The sequence below is a fragment of the Homo sapiens genome, chromosome 9 (genome assembly GCF_000001405.40).
Source record: "Homo sapiens chromosome 9, GRCh38.p14 Primary Assembly".
Classification (NCBI taxonomy): domain Eukaryota; kingdom Metazoa; phylum Chordata; class Mammalia; order Primates; family Hominidae; genus Homo; species Homo sapiens.
This window is the reverse complement of record NC_000009.12, coordinates 121315319-121335171: the sequence shown is the minus strand read 5'-3', so window position 1 is coordinate 121335171 and position 19853 is coordinate 121315319. Positions and strand designations below refer to the sequence as shown.

Sequence of the window (19853 nt, the reverse complement as noted above, 5' to 3'; positions counted from 1 at the left end):
CAAACCTTTGGGGGTAGGCAAGGCAAGCGTTATGGGATCAAGTCCAAACCCTTGGTATGGCATTCAAAGCCCCAGCCTGCTTCTCAGCTCAGAGGCCTGCCACTCCAGGCTGCTGTCTGTCCCTGAGCACGCTGTTCCCCTCACAGCCCCCTGCCTGTACTAGCTGCACCCTCTGCCTGAAAGTGACTTCATCTTCCCTCCACGTTTCATCCAGAAAATTTCTTCTCCACTACCCTCGACACTTCTGCGATGAATCAGAATCTCTGGAGGAATGGCCCTTGGGGAATCCATGCTTTTAAAAAGTTCCCTGGGCAATTTGGGTGATCAGCCAGCTTTGGAGACAACAGTGTAAACACACACACACACACACACACACACACACACACACACACACACACAAACACACAGCCTGCCCATCATTTAAGCCCTCATGCTGGTTTCTGTTCTTTTACAGTCATATGCTTGCGAGCTTTCACATCATAACTCAATGGGGATGGAGTGGTGGTGGGAGGTGACACAGAACAAGACGGGGGGAAAACAAGGTGAGAAGAGACCAAAAGGACAGAGCGGGAGGACTGGGGAATGTCCTCCAGCAGGTTTCTTGGACTGGTTTAGTCTCCCAGGAGAAAAGATTATGAAACAACATAGAAATATCCAAGAGGGACTGTGTGACATGCTGAGCATGAGTGGAGAGTCAGGACCCAGGGGACCAAGAAGGCACAGAAGAGTCCCTTTCCCATACCCTGAAGACCGCAAACTTTGAGAGCATCCGGGGGCAGCTCTTGTGCTGGCAGCTGCTGCAGTTATTTCTCCACATAGCTTTGGGGCAGCAGAATGAATCTGTGGGAAACAGAGGCAGCAGGGAAGGTCCAAGCAGCTGCTACAGGATGTGGCAGCTATGAGGATGCACCCTGCCCGCTTTCTACTGCAGGGCATATAATTGATAAGGGCTCCGACTGCTGGCTTTGAACTTCATCCCACATGTGTCCCAAGGCCAGGCCTCCCAAAGACTGAGTGCAGGGGGCAGATAAGGCACGCCTGCTTACAAGAGACACACAATTCCTTTGCTGGCTGACTTTGACTCTGGCTCAAGAACACTTTGAATTGAACAGATGCTCATGTTCATAGCAGCCTTATGCACAATAGCCAAAAGGCACAAATAACAAAGAGTCCATTGATGGCTGAATAAACCAGATGTGGTATAGACATGCAGTAGAATATTACTCAGCCACAAAAAGGAGTGAAAAGTTGATATATGCTACAACACAGATGAGTCTTGAAAACATTCTGCTAAGTGAAATAAGCCACACACAGAGGACAAATGTTGTATGATTCCACTTATATGAGGTCCCTGGAATAGTCAAATTCTGAGACTGAAAGTAAAATACAGGTTACCAGGGGCTGGCGAATAGGGAAGAATGGGGAATTGGTATTTAATGGGCAGAGCATTTATATTGGGGATTATCAAAAAGTTTTGGGTACAGAGAGTGGTGATGGCTACATAACACTGTATATGCAATGTTACTGAAATACATACAAGTGGTTAAAATAAATACTGTGTTACGTACAGTTTGCCACAATAAAAAACAACAAAAATGGGACTATACCATTAAATTTAAAAAGAACACTGAATTTGGCTTTGGGACTGCCGACAAGCTTTGCCAAATCTTCCTGGATTAAATAAATGACCACTAAGACACTTCCGCACAACCTTCTCTCCCTTTTTTCTCCACCTAGGGTCAGACTTGCGTCGAGGGTCTGATGGCTCTCCCAGTCTTCCTTGGTTCCCCACCTATTTCCTTTCTTTTGAGACAGAATCTCGCTCTGTCACCCAGGCTGGAGTGCAATGGTGCAATCTCAGCTCACTGCAACATCCGCCTCCTGGGTTCAAGAGATTCTCCTGTCTCAGCCTCCCGAGTAGGTGGGATTACAGGCATGTGCCACCACGCCTGGCTAATTTTTTATTTTTAGTAGAGGCAGGCTTTCACCATGTTGGCCAGGCTGGTCTCGAACTCCTGATCTCAGGTGATCTGCCTGCCTCGGTCTCCCAAAGTGTCGGGATTACATGTGTGAGCCACCGTACCCGGCCCCTCCTTATTTCCTTTAGCATAGGTATCCCCCAGGACAATCTACACACCTCTCAACTCACTGTGGCATCGCCTCTCAGGGCACCAGGATTCACGCACAGGGTGGATGTAGCCTTTCTACTAGTTTACAGGCAAATGCTAGGCACCTCTCTGGCCATTCTCAGAATTACCAGGGACACAGGCAGAGAAGACGCCGGCTCTCACTGTCAGATGGGCACAAGGAAACGAGCCACACTAGAGTACACACTTCAAAATGTTTTTATTGGATTTAATTTCCCAAACACTGACATTTTAGACAATTTTGCAAGGACTCTGAATTTTTGCAGGGCTATTTTTGGATACTGTAAAAAAAAAAAAAAGAAACAACACACACACACACACACACTCATAGCAGAGCTGCTCTGCTCGCTCTAAGGCCTCTTTGAGGGAAGGACAGTTCCAAAAGGCACTGACCGGTGACATGGGTGGGCCCTGCCCCTCCTCAGGCAGCCAGCTCAGCCATGGCCCTGTCCAAGGGGTCCACAGACCAGTAATCATCATCCCAGCCAAGGAACCAGCCCACAAAGGAGGGAGGCTCAAAGCCTTGCTTCACCACGGTGATGGGCGTCCGCCGATCCCGATTGGCTGGGTCCGTCTCGATGTACCGCTTAGCTGCAGACACACGTGCAAGAAAAGGAAACCCCAGGAATTCTTAGTGCCTCCCACACCAGGGAGAGGGTGACTCAGGACAGGAGTTGACAAAGAAGAGGGTCTATGGTCCTACTGTCCCTACTGCCCACCCCCTGCCCTGGGCACCATCCTCCTTTAAAGGCATGATACCCACGTGGGCTCTCCACCACCCTGCTCAGGAACACAGGAAGGAACAGGGCTACGGCTTAATCTCCTGCTTCATAAAGCTTATTACTTTCCCTTGCAGTCCCCTACTGGAAGATATGGGAACCAACTTTTGGGTTCCCAGCTCACAAATCAGATCTATTCAGCTGCCAAGAATCTGCTTTGCAACATCTTTTTCTTTTTTTTTTTCATTTTGAGACACCATCTCATTCTGTCACCCAGGCTACAGTATAGTGGTGCGATCATGGCTCACAGCAGCCGTGAACTCCTGGGCTCAAGCAATCCTCTGACCTCAACCTCCTGAGTAGCTGGGACCACGGGTGTACACCAACACGCCTGGCTAATTTTTTTGTATTTTTTCTAGAGATGAGGTTTCACTATGTTGCCCGGGCTGCTTTCAAACTCCTGGGCTCAAGTGATCCTCCTGCCTTGGCCTCCCAAAATGCTGGGATTACATGCATGAGTCACCATGCCTGGCCTGCTTTGCCACATCTAAACCTTGACAAGTTCAGCTTCTGAGTATTCTGGGAACTTGAAGTGACTTCTCATCTGTCCCTTCCTTCTCCTGGAACAGAGGAGAGCCTTCTTTGAGAAGCCTCAGGGTTTCTGAAGGAACTGATGTGTTCTTCACTATCCCAGGCAGGATTTATGAGGGGCTGGCCCACAGAGGAGGAAGTCCCCACCCTATCTTGTCCATCAGTCCCCTGGAAAGATGCTCATTCCCAGACCTGTACAGGAGCCACTCCCAGCACCCCACAAGCAACGGACCCCTCCCCCCGCCCCCAGGCACTCGGGTCCTCACCAGAAGTCAAGGCTTCTGTCTTTTCTTCTTCTTGAGAATCCTTTCCAACCCAGACAAAGACCTGGAGGTGAGATGCAACAGGAAAGGTACATGAGGAGTGCTGATCAAATTCACGGCTGGAGGAAGACTGGGGAGGGGCCAGGTATCAGACCAGACAAAGCCCTCCCCTTTCTAACAGAGCCCATGAACTAAGACTGGAAGGATTTGGAACAGAGGTTGAAAACTGGCAACCTACAAACATGTTTTGTTTGCTCACCCACCACCTTGTGTTAGCCAACAATGTCTTTTTAAACCGTTATGACATAAAAATCTAGATTTCCAACTTCTCTTTAAAAATTGGAGGATCTAGCAGCCTGGGCCTTCAAACCTCACTTGAGTCAAGCTGCGCAGGAGCTGCCCCTTTGAGATGAGCAGTTCTAGTTTGCCTCAGACTCCACTGCTCCTTCACGTCTCCCCAGCCCAGCCTGCTTCATTCGCTAACATTGCCAACCAGGTACCATCAGGCATTGAGTTTGAGATTCTTCTCTAAAGGTCCATGAGTTATCTCTTGAACAGCATTCACTCGTTCAACAAATGAGTGGCCAAACATATTCTCACCCATTTATTTATCCAACAAATATGCACCGAGAGTCTACTATGTGCCGGTCTGTGTGCATCTTTGTCAAAATGGGCCTAAGGCTTGGAATAAAAATAACTCACCCACCACTATCACCATTTTGAGTCTTGTTACAAGTTCTATTACACATTATTTAGCTGATTTTTATGTATCATCTATTTTTATGCATATCTAAAATATTACTTCAAAGAGCACCTATCATTGATAAAATGGCATTAGACAATAAAATGTCAGACTTCATTTTTCTCACTTTTTTTTGAGACGGAGTCTCACTCTGTCACCCAGGCTGGAGTGCAGTGGCATGATCTCAGCTCACTGCAACCTCCGCCTCCTGGGTTCAAGTGATTCTTCTGCCTCGACCTCCCAAGTAGGTGGGATTATAAGCACCCACCACCAAGCCTGGCTAATTGTTTTGTATTTTTAGTAGAGATGGGGTTTCACCATGTTGGCCAGGCTGGTCTTGAACTCCTGACCTCAAGTGATCTGCCCACCTCAGCCTCTCAAAGTGCTGGGTTTACAAGTGTGAGCCAACATGTCTGGCCCTCTCTTACTTATTTATAAATGTGTTCCCAACTAAAGTGGAAGCCCCTCGAAGGCAGGCATTCTATTTTGCTCATCATAGGATTCTCAGCACTCAGCATTTTGCCTGCAAGACCATGGTGCTGAATAAATGTTGGCTGACTGAATCCCTAACAGATGAACAAACAGATTAAGTAGCCAATGGATCAATCAATGACAACTGCTGAATGGCTCAAGCTGCAATCATTTTTGGTCCCGATCTTCCAACTGGGGATTCCGAGCATCCCTGTGGGTAGTGTAGAGTCTTATGCCTTCGTGGCCAGCTGCTCCGTAACTCTGAGGACTCTGGGAGAAGCCACCTTGATAGGAAAGGTGACTGACCTGACACCCCTGTGAGAACGTAAGCCCTGGGAGAGCAGGAAAATGCCTACTTTATTCATTGCTCTATCCCAGCATCTCAAACATAAAGCACCTGGCACAAAGCAGTGCCCAATTAATATTGGTTGAGTAAGTGAATGGCATCTTCCCCTGCCAAGTCCTACATAATGGCCTTCTCTAGGAGATGAAGTGGAGACAGAGCCCAGAGCCCTCAAACCAGAAGCAGGAGCCCTCTAGAGCCTCTAGGTGACACTGGACAGTTTATGCCTGCAAACAAGATGCTGCTAAGTTCAACTTCCTCTGCCAACAGATTTAAAGGAAGAGTTCACGCTCCTGCAAGGTCTGGGAGAGAATGATGAAGGTCATGTGATTTGCCTTTATAGGGCGTTTTGCAGCTTTCAAGGTGAGTGTATCTGCAAGGGAGGTACCGCCACTCCCAGTTTACAGATGAGGAAATGGAAGCTCAGAAAGAAGAAGTGACTTCCAGTACCCTTAGAGACTTTTCTGGCAACACCTGGCACTGCCCCCTTTAGGTCCTTCTAGCAACTGATCATAGAACTGGAAGTCTAGTTTCTCCCACTCCCTCTGGCACAGAGAGCCTTCACCTGTCCTTCACCCACCTGGTCCCAGGTGTCCAGAAGCATGACGTCATCCGTTGCCAGGTCTTCCTGCATGAGCTCACCAGGAACCTCTTCGATCTGGGAAGGAACGAAAGAGCATCAGTGAGATGTCTTCCCTCCCCTGGGTGGCCTTCCTTTATCTGCCCCCTGAGGGAGTGGCACAGCTGGCTGCAGCTGGCAGGGGGCCCCTTCCTCTGTGCCACACCATCAGAACTGTTTCTCCTGCCCCTGCTGCCGGCCAGTCCTGTGGAACTCGCCTCCCGAGGGGAAAGCAGAGGTGTGACCTCCGCAGGGGCTCACCACAAAACGTCCAATCTTGTTGGAGCAGGCAAAGAGGCGAGGAGGATGGGCATCCATCTTCTTGTCCTTCAGCCGTGGGGATGTGCGGTAGGCAGCCTTCCCGCCCAGGGCCTCCCAGAAGCCATCTGTGAGGGGAGGCCACGCCAGTTGCCAAGGGACGCCATCACCCCTCTCTCCCATCTCATCGGACCCTGGGACCAGCCCTGCCCAAGCGCAACCAACTGCTCTCCCTCTCCTCCCTCCATCCTAAAAATCCCAGGAGATCCAGAGGGAAGAGGCCTGAGGGAATTGGAAGGTGACGAAATAGAGGCCCAGAGAGGGCAGACTTGGCAGTAGTCACACAGCCAGGACCACTATTGGCTTGAGGCTGACGACAGCATTGCGGGATGAGGACCATTAGCTCCACTCAGCTAATGAGGCAGTTGTGGCTCGGAGAGGTTAAGCAACTCACTCAAGGTCACACAGATGGTAAGTGTTAAGACCAGGATACAAATCTTGTCTGATTCTAACACCTATACTCTTTCCACTATACCTGCTCTGTCCATGTGCAGCCATTTAAATTTAAATTCATTAAAATTAAATTCGACTAAAAGTTCAGTTCTTCATTCCCACTAATTCCCACTGGTCGCATTTCAAGTGCTCAACAGCCACATGTGACTAATGGCTGTCAAATTGGACTCGGCAGATACAGAACATGTCCATCTGCATAGAAGGTTCTGCTGGACAGAGCTGCTTTAGACCAAGTCACTCTTCACCATTTCTGTTAAGCATCAAGCAGGTGGGAATGAACTCAAAGTAACAGTATAAAGACTGCAGGCTGGCAGAAGGAAGAGCTGCCCGGCCCACATTCTGGAAACAGAGCAGGCTGGTGGCATTTCTGTCCATGGAGAGTCTAGAGATGCAAGGAGACCACTGCTCCTCTGACGCTATCAGCCCTGCCTACCACCTTTCAAGGCTTCCTAGCGAGGGACCGCCTCCTTCCACAGACCAACTGCTCCTTCCCACACTGGGCTCTCCTTTCTTTCTTTCTTTCTTCTTTTTGAGACAGAGTTTTACTCCTGTTGCCCAGGCTGGAGTGCAATAGCGTGATCTCAGCTCACCGCAACCTCCAACTCTCGGGTTGAAGTGATTCTCCTGCCTCAGCCTCCCGAGTAGCTGGGATTATACAGGCATGTGCCACCATGCCCGGCTAATTTTGTATTTTAGTAGAGATGGGGTTTCTCCATGTTGGTCAGGCTAGTCTTGAACTCCCGACCTCAGGTGATCCGCCCGCCTTAGCCTCCCAAAGTGCTGGGATTACAGGCATGAACCACCACGCCCAGGCTAGGCTCTCCTTTCTTTAGCTCCTGGAGACCTCCCTCTCTCTGGCCACAGCCCTCATTTTAATGCAACTGCTTTTATTTAACATACATTAGGGGACAGGCCCTCAGGTGGGATGGAGGGGAGGATTTAGAGCCCCCAAGCTGAAGGAAAGAAGGGGGAAACTTAATAGCTGCATCCGGACAGCAGCAGGCCCCCCACCCCGGCTCCTACCTGGCTCGCTGCCTTCTGCCACCTGCACAGGTTGGGCCCGCAGCACCCTGAGCAGCTCCTGGGCCCCCGTCTTCTCTGCCTCGCTGGCTCCTGTACCCACCCACAGGTAGGCGGCTGAGGGGGTTTTCAGAACAAAGGCATCGTTGGAGTTCAGTGCACCAGCCTTAGGCAATACCTGGGAGGGTACAGCTTGGTTAATCAGGAACCAGACAAAAAGCCCTCAGCCCCCTCCTCACAGCCCAGGAGACCCCGCAGCAGGACTAGCTCTCAGGTGGGGACTTGGAGGAACACAGCCCATCAGAGCTGAGGGCACAGACTTTGGACCCTGATGGCCTTGGTTGACTCCCATGAGTCACTAATGCACTGTGACTAGCCAACATGATTCTAAAAATCAGGGCTGCATTAACAGAAGTTGAATGCCCAGAACAAAGGAGGTGAGAGTCCCATTCCCCTCTAGGCTGCTCAGACCATCCTGGGAATCAAGTCCAGATCTGTGCCTTCCTCCGTGAAAGGGATAGTAGGCAACTGGAACGTAATCAGGAATGGCATGCTGATTGTACAGAATGGTAGGTAGTGAGCTGTCCACTGTGCAAAGTGTGCAAGGGACACTGGGTATCCTTGAAACAGGGGGGAGTCTAAGACAGACAACCCTGTGGCCACGGCAGGAAAATACAAAAAGCTGCTTCTTACCCCGTCATTCACCATCCCCTGCCCCCGTTCCTGTGCCTGGAGATCTGGTCATTGAGCTGGGAGGTTTCAGGGAGGCCAATCCCTTCTGTGTTCCAGGACCTGGAAATTACCTCAACAGCCCGGGTGGCTCCAGCGCTGTTGGCGCGGACCTGGAAGAGGCGGGTGCTGGCAGGGGCTGTCTGCCCGCCCTCGCGGGAGGTGCCGCCCTTGTAGATGATCATGGGCTTCCCACCAAACAGGCTCATGAGGTGGGCGGGCTCCTTGCCTTGGACCACACGGCTCTGGCAGGGAGACAGGAGAGCAAGTCAGGGACCTTGGGGGCAGGCTTCAGTCCTTCTATGTCGCACTGGGCCCATCCCTCCAGACGAAGCCATCATGCTTGTGTCTGTGTGTGGCATGGAATGTGACCCGACAACACACAGGCAGGGACACCAGAATTCCAGGAAGGGTGGAGACAGTGCTATTGTCTGAGGTCCCCAGGGCACTGCTGCTGGGCTGCTCTCCATCTCCATGACGACATGCCTTCCTGATCCTCAGCCTGGTCCAAGAACCAGGAGAGCCTGTGTTTGCAAATGTTCCCTTAAATAGAAGCACAGGGATTGCTGGTGGACATTCTTCCAGAATGCTGACGTCAGGCCTGGGCATGACTGCTGGTGGAGTGGTAAGAACAGAGCATTCTAGATCCAGAAAACCCCCTCCTGCAGAGCCAGTGCACCCCAGATGCGGGCAGCAGTCAGGGGCTTGGTGGTGGGAGTGAGGCAGGGAAGATGTACACCCTCACATCTGCTCCTGCCCTGTGTGCGGCACCTTACCGTGGCCCCGGCTAACTATGTCCAGAAGAAAACCTCACATGTACGTCAGGCATATGGCAGTCGCTTCCCACCACGACCCACCACCGCTGAGTTAGGGCTTAGACCCCAACTCCACCCTGATGGTGAGAACTTGGGCACGTGTCTCAACCTCTTGAGTTCCTCCTCTGAAAAATGCAGCCAAGGATGCTACTCCCAAGGCTGTTGTCAGGATGCACTGAGCTAAGATGGTCATCATCTCATTTAGTGCCCAGCACCCAGTCTATCATAGTCAAAGGTCAGGGCACGAACCCCCGATGCCAATCTAGAGCCCTGCCCACTCCCACCGTAGGACGGAGGAAGCACAGTTGTTGTCCGCTTCCCCTATATTTCCACAAACCAGCTCTGCTGCCCTCCAGCGCCTGGCCAGAGTGACTTTTTAAACCAGAAATCCCTACACCTCAGACTTATCATTCAGCAACTTCCTGTTGTTCTCAGCATCAAGGTCAACATCGTCACTATGGCCTCTGGTGGTCTGGCCCCTCTGAGCACCTCTCTAGCCTCAAATCATGGCATTTTCCCCTTGCTTTAACACCCAATGCCCCCTCCCACCTCAGGGCCTTTGCATGTGTACCACCCTTTACCCACAATGTGCTTTCCTTCACTCTGCCTGGGCAACTCCTACACGTGCATCAGGTCCCAGTTGAACAGTCCCCTCCTGGGACAGGGGTGGGCTTTTCTAATCCAATAGGATCCTACCTAGGATTTACCTCCTTGTACTTAACACATATGTATAAGGGGGCACTTCTTATATGGCAGGCATGATTCTAAATGCTTACAAATGTTAACTCTTAATCCTCACAGCAATCTTGTGGGATGGTACTGTTATTACCCCTATTTTGAGGACACAGAGGCACAGAGAGGCTAAGTGACTTGCCCAACGTTGCCCAGAGGTGAGGACAGGATTCAAACCCAAGCATGCTGGTTCCACATCCGTGCTCAGCCACATGGCCTCTCCCATGTCTCTCTCCCAAGGTCTTGTCAATTTCACTCACTGCATCTGTCATAGCCATTGGTGTGCCTGTGTGTTGAATGTCTACTACCACCCAAGACAGCAAAGTCCACTAGGGCAGGGACAGTGTGTCTGTGTGTCCATGGCTACAGATGCAGTGTGGAACACATGGAAGCCCTAAATAAATACCTGTTCCATGGATGGATGGATGGATGGATGGATGGATGGATGGATGGATGGACAGACAGACAGATGGACAAACGAATGGATGGATGAGAGTCAGACAGATGAGTGAAGAGAAGGACAAGGCTCAGGCTGCAGCCCAGAGAGGCGGTGGGCTGGGCTCACCTGGACAGGGGTACCTCCCAGCTCCTCATCCAGCTGAGCAGTCAGGATGGCAGATGCAGCGACCTCATCCTGGGTAGACTGGGCACCCTGCCTGGAAGGGGAAGTGAGATTCAGCATCAGGGTGCACACAGAGCCCTGAGCCTCTCCCTTGCCCTGAGTCTGAGAAACCTACACATCTCCCTGTTACCAGTAATGAAACAGATAGAGAGGGAAGGGGACTCTTTCAGAACAACGAGAGCCAGGAACCACACCAACACTTCCACTCTCAGCCTAGCATCTTGCCCGCTTACAGAGATCTTAGTGCAACGCATGGATTTCCTTATGCTAAATGTGTCCCACAGGAGACTGGCTGGGTCATCCCATGCTGAACAGCCACAGAGAAGATGCTCTGAGACTCAAATCTGAGATGCAGAAAAGTGGCCAGGACATTTCTCTGGGCGGAAAAGCAGGTCGCAGAATAGCAAGTGTTACGAGAGCCTATTTGTGGGAAAAGATGTCAGTGATTAAGCCTCCCATGAACACGTGCAGAGAGGTCTGCACAGATGTTCACCAAAAAGGTCCATGGTGATTGCTCTTAGAGGGAAGATTTAGGGGGATTTTGCCTTTCTATCCCACCTCTTTGCATATTGTCTAAGTTTTCCATAACCAACATATGTCGTCGTATAAGCAAACAAAATCTGACCTATTAATGCGCTGATGCAGCTAATTTTTAAAACAGTCTTCTCACACATTTTGTACCAGGTGAATGTGTTATCTAGTCAAAAAAAAAATTAAGCTGTTTTTAAATGTCTGGGGTTGTCAAATTGAGAGACATTCTACAAAATAACTGACTAGTACCCTTTAAAAGTGTTAAGGGCATGAAAAAAAGGAAAGACCGGGCAACTGCCATAGATTCAGAGACTTTGGAGACATGATGAGTAAATGCCATGTGGGATCCTGGGTTAGATCCTAGATCAGGAAAAGAACAGTAGTGGGGGCCGGGCACGATGGCTCATGCCTGTCATCCCAGCACTTTGGGAGGCCAAGGCAGGCAGATCAGTTGAGGTCAGGAGTTCGAAACCAGCCTGCCCAACATGGTGAAACTCCGTCTCTACTAAAAATACAAAAATTAGTTGGGTGTGTTGGCGCACACCTGTAGTCCCAGATACTCAGGAGGCTGAGGCAGGAGAATTGCTTGAACCTGGGAGGCAGAGGTTGCAGTGAGCCGAGATCATGCCACTGCACTCCAGCCTGGCGACAGAGCAAGACTCTGTCTAAAAAAAAAAAAAAAAAACGGTAATGGGAAAACTGAGGAAATTTAGGTAAAGCCTATAGATTAGTAAGTAGTATTGTGTCAATGTTCACTTCCTGGCTTTGTTAATTGTGCTATGGTTATGTAAGGGTTATGTAAGATGTGAACATAGGTGAATATTCCATTGGGTAATGGATATATGAGAACTGTCTGTACTATTTTTGCAACTTTTCAGCAAGTGTCTAATATTATTTCAAAATAAGTTTAAAAAAAGAAGGAATCCAGCTTGGCGTGGTGGCTCATGCCTATAATCCCAACACTTTGGGAGGCTGGGGCAGGCAGATCGCTTAGAGGAGTTCGAGACCAGCCTGGGCAACATGGCAAAGCCCCATCCATACTAAAGTATAAAAAGTAGCCGGGTGTGGTGGTGAGTAGTGGCAAGTAGTCCCAGCTACTCAGGAGGCTGAGGCACGATAATTGCTTGAGCCCCGGGGGGCAGAGGTTGTGGTGAGCAGAGATCGTACCACTGCACTACAGCCTGGCCAACAGAGCAAGACCCTGTCTCAAAAAAAAAAAAAAATCCAACAGTCAATAATCAGACAAAAAGTTTTAGACTGTATAGTAAGAGAAATACAAGTTAAAAATACACTGAGACACCATTTTATAAACCATAAGATTGGCAAACGCCCAAAAGTTTGACCACACAATCCACGAGTGTGACTATAGGGAACCAGGGACTCTCACAGGTTGCTTGGTGGGAATGTAAAATGCTACGAACACTATCGAGGGAAATTGGGGGCTATCTACCAAAATGACAAGTGCAGTTACTCTTTGACCCAGCAATCTGACTTCTGGGAACTTACTCTAGAGGCATGTCTCTGCATGTTCAAAGTGATGTTTGTTTAAGGTTACTAATCACAGCAATGTTTGTAATAGAGAAAGACTGGAATCAACCCAAGTATGCATCATCAAGGAATTTGTTAAATAAACTATAGTACAGCCACCCAAAGGACTATTATGCAACTGTAAAAAAGAATGAGAAAGCTCTCTGTCTCTATGTACTGACATTATTGATCTCTAGGAAGAATGGAGTCAGAAAAGCAAGGTGCAGGGCAATATACAAAGTATGCTACCTTTTGTGTAAGGAAGGGAGGGACCAGGCTATAAATTATTTGCATATGTATTTTTTTTCACGAAGAGTTACTGGAAGGATATGCAAGAGAGTAAAGCAGTTACCCAAGAAGGGGTGGGGTCTGGAGAATGGGGTAGAGAGGGACAGGGGTGGGAATAAGATTTCTCAATAAATACCTTTATATTCTGTTTTGATTTTTGAACCATGTAAATGTATTCTCTGTTTTAAAATAATTTTGGGGCTGGGTGTGGTGGCTCACTCCTGTAACCCCAGCACTTTGGGAGGCTGAGGCAGATGGATCATCTGAGGTCAGGAGTTCGAGACCAGCCTGGTCAACATAGTGAAACCCCGTCTTTACTAAAAATACAAAAAATTAGCCAGGCATGGTGGTGGGTGCCTGTAATCCCAGCTACTAGAGAGGCTGAGGCAGGAGAATTGCTTGAACTTGGGAGGCAGAGGTTGCAGTGAGCGAGACCGCACCACTGCACTCCAGCCTAGGCAACAAGAGAAAAACTCTGTCTCAAAATAAATAAATAAATAAATAAATAAACAAATATAAATTTAAAAAAATTTTGGCTTGAAAAATATGTGTGGGAGGATAAACCCTAGTGTGCCTAGTACTTGTCATGGATTTGTGGGAGATGTTCTGTTTGTTTCTCCACATTCACTATATCCTACAATAGATGTATAATCATTTGGTAAGAAGAGTTTCAAAGTTGTTTGGAGAAATAAGCAAATGGTGTTGCCCTGTGGACAAAAGCCTCTCCCAGCAGGGAGTGGTGGTCCCACCTCAGGCCCTCACACCCTCAGTTTGTCTTCAGCCCTGCTCAGGGCCCAGCCAGTACCCCCACGACACACACCAATGGCCCCAGAACCTCACCAGTTATAGATTATCTGCCCCTGGCGGCCACCATGGCGGTAGTTGTACAGAATGATGTAGCTGTCGCCTCCATAGAACTGTCCATATGTGGCAGGGTCCACGGGCACCTTGTTGGAACCTTCGATTCTCCAGATCTGCAGGAGCAAAGCTGGAGTCAGATGCTGTGCAGCACCCCCACCCCCCAGCTCAGGCAAGCCAGGAAACCGCAGTGTGGTAGGTTGTGGTTAGGCCATGGGATGAACTTTTAATCACTTGGGCTCGGACTGGAGTTAAATGGTTTGCCCAACTCACAGAGCCACTAGAAGGCAGGGCTGGGACTCTGGGTCAGGGTTCCTGCCTGGGCTCCTCATACCATGCCCTGCCCCAGCCCGTCTGTCCTTCGCTGAGGATCGTCAAGGCAGCTCCAAAGGAATGCAGTACAGTGAGGGGAGGAGCCAGACACAGACCCCAAATCAGGCCCCTCATCCCCTTCCGGGCCATGAGACCTCAGACAACTGGCTTAACCACTCTTAGCCTCAGTTTTCCCATCTGAAAAATGGGGATAATCATAGTACCTACCTCAAAGTACTGTGAGGCTCAAACGAGATTACTCGTGAAAGTCTAGCACAGGGCCCGGCACAAAGGGACTGCTCTGTAGGTGGCAGCTGCTCTTATTGTCATAATTATTATTATTATCTTACTAATATCACCATTACCTCTATTGTTACTGAGCTGCCTGGATTCTTTCTTTTTTTCTTTTTTTTTTTTTTGTTTTTTGAGACGAGGTTTCACTCTTGTTGCCCAGGCTAGAATGCAATGACGCAATCTCGGCTCACTGCAACATCTGCCTCCCGGGTTCAATCAATTTTTCTGTCTCAGCCTCCCGAGTAGCTGGGATTACAGGTGCCTGCCACCATGGCCAGCTAAGTTTTGTATTTTTAGTAGAGACGGGGTTTCACCATGTTGGCCAGGCTGGTCTCGAACTCCTGACCTCAGGTGATCCACCCGCCTCGGCCACCCAAAGTGCTGGGATTACAGGCGTGAGCCACTGTGCTGGGCCTGCCAGGAATTTCATAGGTCACCTGCAGAGGCAGGGACACCACGAGGCAACCTCAGTGTGACCCCTGCTGGCAGGTCTCCGCAGCGTTCTGGTGACACTGCTTTTTCCAAGTGGTCACGAGGCCCGGCAGCGCCACCTGGTGGAGCTATGGAGACACGGAGTCGTCCAAGTCCTGGGAAACAGAATCCTAGAATCTCTGGATTTTGAACATTCTTGAAGGTGATGGAGTGGGATGAAACCCCACTTTACAAGTGAGAAAGTGAAGCTCAAAGAGGTTATGTAACTTGCCCAAAGTCTCACAGTCAGGCTGCCAGGGGTCTTACCACACCGCCCCACCCGAAATATTTTCATTGCATTCTCCCTAGCCACTGAAGCAACAAATGAATGCTAGCACCAAACCAAAAACAATAATATATAAAAATGAACACTTTGTTATTCCTATCATTAGGAACGGAGTCAAGTTTGCCTGAGGCGGATTCTACCTCCTAAACACCTCTGAACCCCACACCCCTCTTCCCCTTCTCCACTGTGACCTTCTTAGTCTCAAGGTCATCATCTTTCCCCTACAGTATTAGAACAAGCTCCTTATAAGCTCTCTACCTTCATTTTCCTGCCTCCAATCCATTTTCTTAGTTTTCTTTTTATTTTTCTTTTATTTATTTTTTAACTGATTTTTTTCTTCTAATGATATCCTGGAGTCATATTCCAACCCATTTTCACAGTGAGTTTCTAAAGCAGGTGGCCGGGCGCAGTGGCTCATGCCTGTAATTCCAACACTTTGGGGGGCCGAGGCAGGAGGATTGCTTGAGCCCAGGAGTTTGAAATTAGCCCGGGCAACATAGCGAGACCCTGTCTCTATTAAAAAAAAAAAAAAAGATAAAGCATAAATCTGAGCCTGTTGCATGTCTGATTTAATAAAAAGAAAAACCCCTCACTAGCACCCACTGGTTAGAGGATCAAGTCTACACCCTTGAAATTGGCATTCAAGGCCCCTCCCTGGGGATGCCATCAGCACTAGCCCCCTGGGATAGCTCCCTCCTTTCCGAACATAGCGAGTCCCTCCTGGAATGCCCATCACTCTCCGCTCTTCCTCTCCGGCAGCAAAGCTCTACTCCTCCTCTGAGACCCAACCCAAAGGTTCCCATCTCTGTGCAGGCTGCCCTGACCAACCACCCCCACTGCTTCCTGTGTCTGCACAATCCCCTGTGCTCCCTCCCATCTTCCACTGATCACACAGGTCTGTGGCTATGGTCAACTCCCCTCCCAGACCAGGCACTCCTCGGGGCAAGGTGGGGCCAAGACACTTGGCTCAGGGCCTGATACACAGGGTGCATTGGCTGTAAAAACTAAGTAACACCAAAGAATCTCAGCTACCAAAGTTGTGCAAACCTCAGAGAGAAACCTCCTTGGGGAAGCAAGAGGCAGTGCATGGGGAAAGTGAGGGAGGGGCCTGGACACACCCACCCCACGCCCTAAACGTACCTGTTTCTGGCCTGTGCCATCGTCATCCATGCCGTGCTGGGCGGCCATGGCAGTGGAGGTGTGCAGGGTGGCGGCGTCGAAGGGCACCCGCTCCACGTTGGCGATATGGCTGGAAAGGTAGGACAAGCCCAGGCCATCTGTCTGGTCTGGGTCCCGCCAGTTCTTGAAGAACTGCTTGAACAGTGGGGTCTCACCGCCCTCAGGAAGGACCGAGACCTGGGGAGGGGAGGCAGAGGAGCAGGATGTGGCTGGGCTGCCCAGCAGGGGTCCCCAGGGGAGCCTCAGATACCCCATCCACACTGAGGGTGGGACACCCGCCCTACTCCAGCCCATCCCCTCCAAACAGGACCCACCCCTTCCCATCCTACCTGGCCTCCAAGACTCACCTGAGTCTGCTTGGGGTAGTCCATCTTGGTGATGAAGTCAGAGGCTGTTTTGAGGGCAGCCTTCCTCTCCTCCGTGTTTGCCTGCTTGCCTGTTGGCAGCCAGAGGAAGTGATGGAGGGTTAGAGGCCCGGGATCCTGCTGCATCCTGACCTTTAACAGTCCAGGAGAAGGAGCTGCCAAACTTCCCTCCCTACTCTTCTTAGACTGTGGACAGCCAAGGCCAGAGACCCCCAGAGCCGACCACTCACTAGAGCTCCTGGTGTCCAGCCTGGGGCTGGCCAGTGACACCAATCACAACACTACTGTGGTCCATTTAGTGAGCATGTATTTTGTGCTTAGAACTATGCATAGATTATTTAATTCACAGAATAGTCTTAAGTAATAAAAAAAGTTGTTATCTTTTTCTGAGTATCTATAAGGAAGCTAGGGTCTTAGAGAGATTAAATTACTTGACCTAGGTTACTCAGTGAGTGAGAAGCTGCCACCCTGAGGGCATTCCCGTGCCAAGGAGCTCCTGGCCAGCCAGTGCTGGGCCTCAGTCCCAGCCTTCTCACTGCCAAGGCCAAGGTCCAGATCAGCTGGCCCAGGGCCCAGGGGGCCTAGAGAGTAATAATCATAATAGTGTCTCTCTCTCTCTCTTTCTCCCCACCGTCTCCCTTTCTCTCTGTCCTCCTACTGCCTCCCTCTCCTCTGTCCTCTTCCCCAAGATGAGCCTTAGAGAATCAGGGGAGGATATTGATGGGTCCTCTCAGAACATCTCAGGGCCTCTGGGAAACATCTGGGCCAATGGTTTCCAAGAGAATTCCCACAAGATAGTACCGAAAGAGTTTATGAACTTCTAGCTTAGCATTTCCCAAACCAGATCATCTTCATGAAAAGCCCCCCTGTAAATGAACAAGTTAAAAGTCCTACAGTAAACAAACTCGAACATTTTAAAATCCACTGTTGCCCATGAATTTATCTGACCATACAGTTAGATGTTTTCTACATAATTTCTACAGGATGCCAATTAGCCTCTCAGAGAACTGACGTTATAATGCACTTGGGAAACACCCATTTTAGCCCAGATCAGGAATCTGAGGCCCAGAAAGGGTAAGTAAAGTGCCCAAGATCACACAGTATGTCAAATGCAAAACCAAGGCCTCAGCCCAAGACTTCTGATTTCCATTGCACCAGGCACACTCCACACTCCCCGGGAGCTGAGTTCCTGGGAGCTGCAGAACATCCCATCCAAGATCCTACAGGCCAGTTGGGACCCTTTCCCTGTCTCCAGTACCTTTCCAGACAAAGATTTTCCCATCTTTGCCGTGGTCCAGGATGAAGCAGTCCTCTGACTTCAGGGCCCCCTGGGCGAAGGGGTTCTCATCAGCCACGAGGGAGACGGACATGGTCCCTGCACCATTGGAGACCTGAGGGGACGAAGCAGAAGGAACCAGCACATGAGTGTCTGTGGCCGCCCAGCCCTGAGACTTCCACCATCTTGCCCCACCCCCTGTCCCAAATGGCCCTGTAGAGTAACACCTGGGCTTCCTCTCGCACACATTTAGAGGTTCTTTTTCGTTTTCTGCTTTGTCAGAACCACATCTGCTGACCTACACGCAGGGGTAACACAAACTGCACATGGGAAGGGAGGGCGGGATAAAATTTGGGGAATTGGGTGCAGAGGGGAACTGCATAGTTTGCTGAAAATGTATTCAACTTTACTATTCAAAAAAAAGAGAAGAGGCCGGTTACAGTGTCGCACACCTTTAATCCCAGCGCTCTGGGAGGCCCAGGTGGGTGGATGGCTTGAGCCCAGGAGTTCAAGACCAGCCTGGGCAACATGGCAAGATCCCATCTCTACAAAAAATACAAAAAGTAGCAAGGTGTGGTGGCGCTTGCTTGTGGCCCCAGCTACTTGGGAGGCTGAAGTGGGAGGATCACTTGAGCCCAGGATGTCGGGGCTATAGTGAGCTATGATTGCGTCACTACACTCCAGCCTGGGTAACAGAGCCAGACTCTGTCTCAAAAATAAATAAGTAAATAAAAGAGAAGAAAAGAAAAAGAAAAGTAAAAAGAGCTAAATGCAATCTGGTATCCTGGATTGGAACCTAGAATAAAAAACTGGGGAAATCTGGCTAAAGTCTATAGTTTAGTTAATGGTACTGAAGCAATGTTAATTTCTTAGTTTTGACAAATGTACCTGGTTATGCTAAGATGCTAAGGAGAAGCTGAGTGAATGGTATATAGGAACTCTTTGTACTATCTTTACAATTTTTCTGTAAACTTAAAAATTATTCTAAAATAAAAAGTTCAACCAAGCTCAAAAAAAAGTTCTATCTTAAGAGTCAAAATTCAAAAGTTTAACAATATCCAGTTGGCAAGGCTCTGGGTAAACAGGCATTTAAGATCCCTGATGACAGTAATTTGGGAGCTGTTCCAGAGTACAGTTGACTGTGAGGTAGCAGTCCTTTAAATAATAATTATTCTACATGAATTGAGTACTTACTACTCTGTGCCAGTCACTGTTCTAAGCAATTTCTATAACTTGTATAATTATAGAACCCCTTTAATCCTTGCATATGATAGTTCTGTTACTATCCCTGTCTCATTCACAAGGAAACCAAGGCACAGAGTGGTTAAGGAACTTGCACAGCTAGAAATAGCTGACCTGGAATTCAAACACAGGTAGTCTGACTCCTGACTCCAAAACCAGTATTTTCTTTTTTTATTTTATTTATTATTATTATTTTTGAGACGGAGTCTCACTGTTGTCGCCCAGGCTGGAGTGCAATGGCACTATCTCAGCTCACTGCAACCTCCGCCTCCCGGGTTCAAGTGATTCTCCTCCCTTAGGAGGAGAGCTAGGATTAGAGGCACCCGCCACCACGCCTGGCTAATATTTTGTATTTTTAGTAGAGACAGTGTTTCACCATGTTAGCCAGGCTGGTCTCGAACTCCTGACCTCAGGTGATCCGCCTACCTCGGCCTCTCAAAGTGCTGGGATTACAGGGGTGAGCCACCATGCCTGGCCCAGAACCAGTATTTTCAACTACTGACTCATTCTTCGGCCTGTGACCAGCAGTTCCTTGTCTAGGAACTTGCCCTAGTGCTATGCTGTACTTAGCACAAGTGCACCAAGAGGGACTGTCTGCAACTGGAAAAGGTGGAACATCCTAATGTCCATCAATCAGGAT

General features: G+C 49.3%; 1 protein-coding gene across 49 annotated transcripts in view, besides 1 other annotated feature; it reads right to left on the bottom strand.

The window, feature by feature from the left end:
• Positions 2330-19853, bottom strand: part of GSN (gelsolin) — a 131360-nt gene continuing 113836 nt past the window's right edge. For all 49 annotated transcript variants that reach the window (NM_001353054.1, NM_001353053.1, XM_047423273.1 and 46 more), the window contains 11 exons: positions 17954-18086; positions 16678-16766; positions 16292-16507; positions 13771-13904; positions 10528-10618; positions 8490-8660; positions 7690-7864; positions 6157-6281; positions 5857-5934; positions 3724-3784; positions 2330-2738 (listed from right to left, as the gene is read on the bottom strand). In NM_001353054.1, the coding sequence (NP_001339983.1) occupies positions 2569-2738; positions 3724-3784; positions 5857-5934; positions 6157-6281; positions 7690-7864; positions 8490-8660; positions 10528-10618; positions 13771-13904; positions 16292-16507; positions 16678-16766; positions 17954-18086 (1443 nt within the window). In that variant the 3' untranslated portion in view covers positions 2330-2568. The remainder of the gene's footprint in view (positions 2739-3723; positions 3785-5856; positions 5935-6156; positions 6282-7689; positions 7865-8489; positions 8661-10527; positions 10619-13770; positions 13905-16291; positions 16508-16677; positions 16767-17953; positions 18087-19853) is intronic.
• Positions 7234-8147: an enhancer, noted in NCBI's record as "H3K4me1 hESC enhancer chr9:124089303-124090216 (GRCh37/hg19 assembly coordinates)". NCBI's record gives its function as "activates a minimal SCP1, AML or CMV promoter by ChIP-STARR-seq in naive H9 embryonic stem cells {active_cell/tissue: H9 hESC(naive)}" and the evidence as "EXISTENCE:reporter gene assay evidence [ECO:0000049][PMID:30033119]".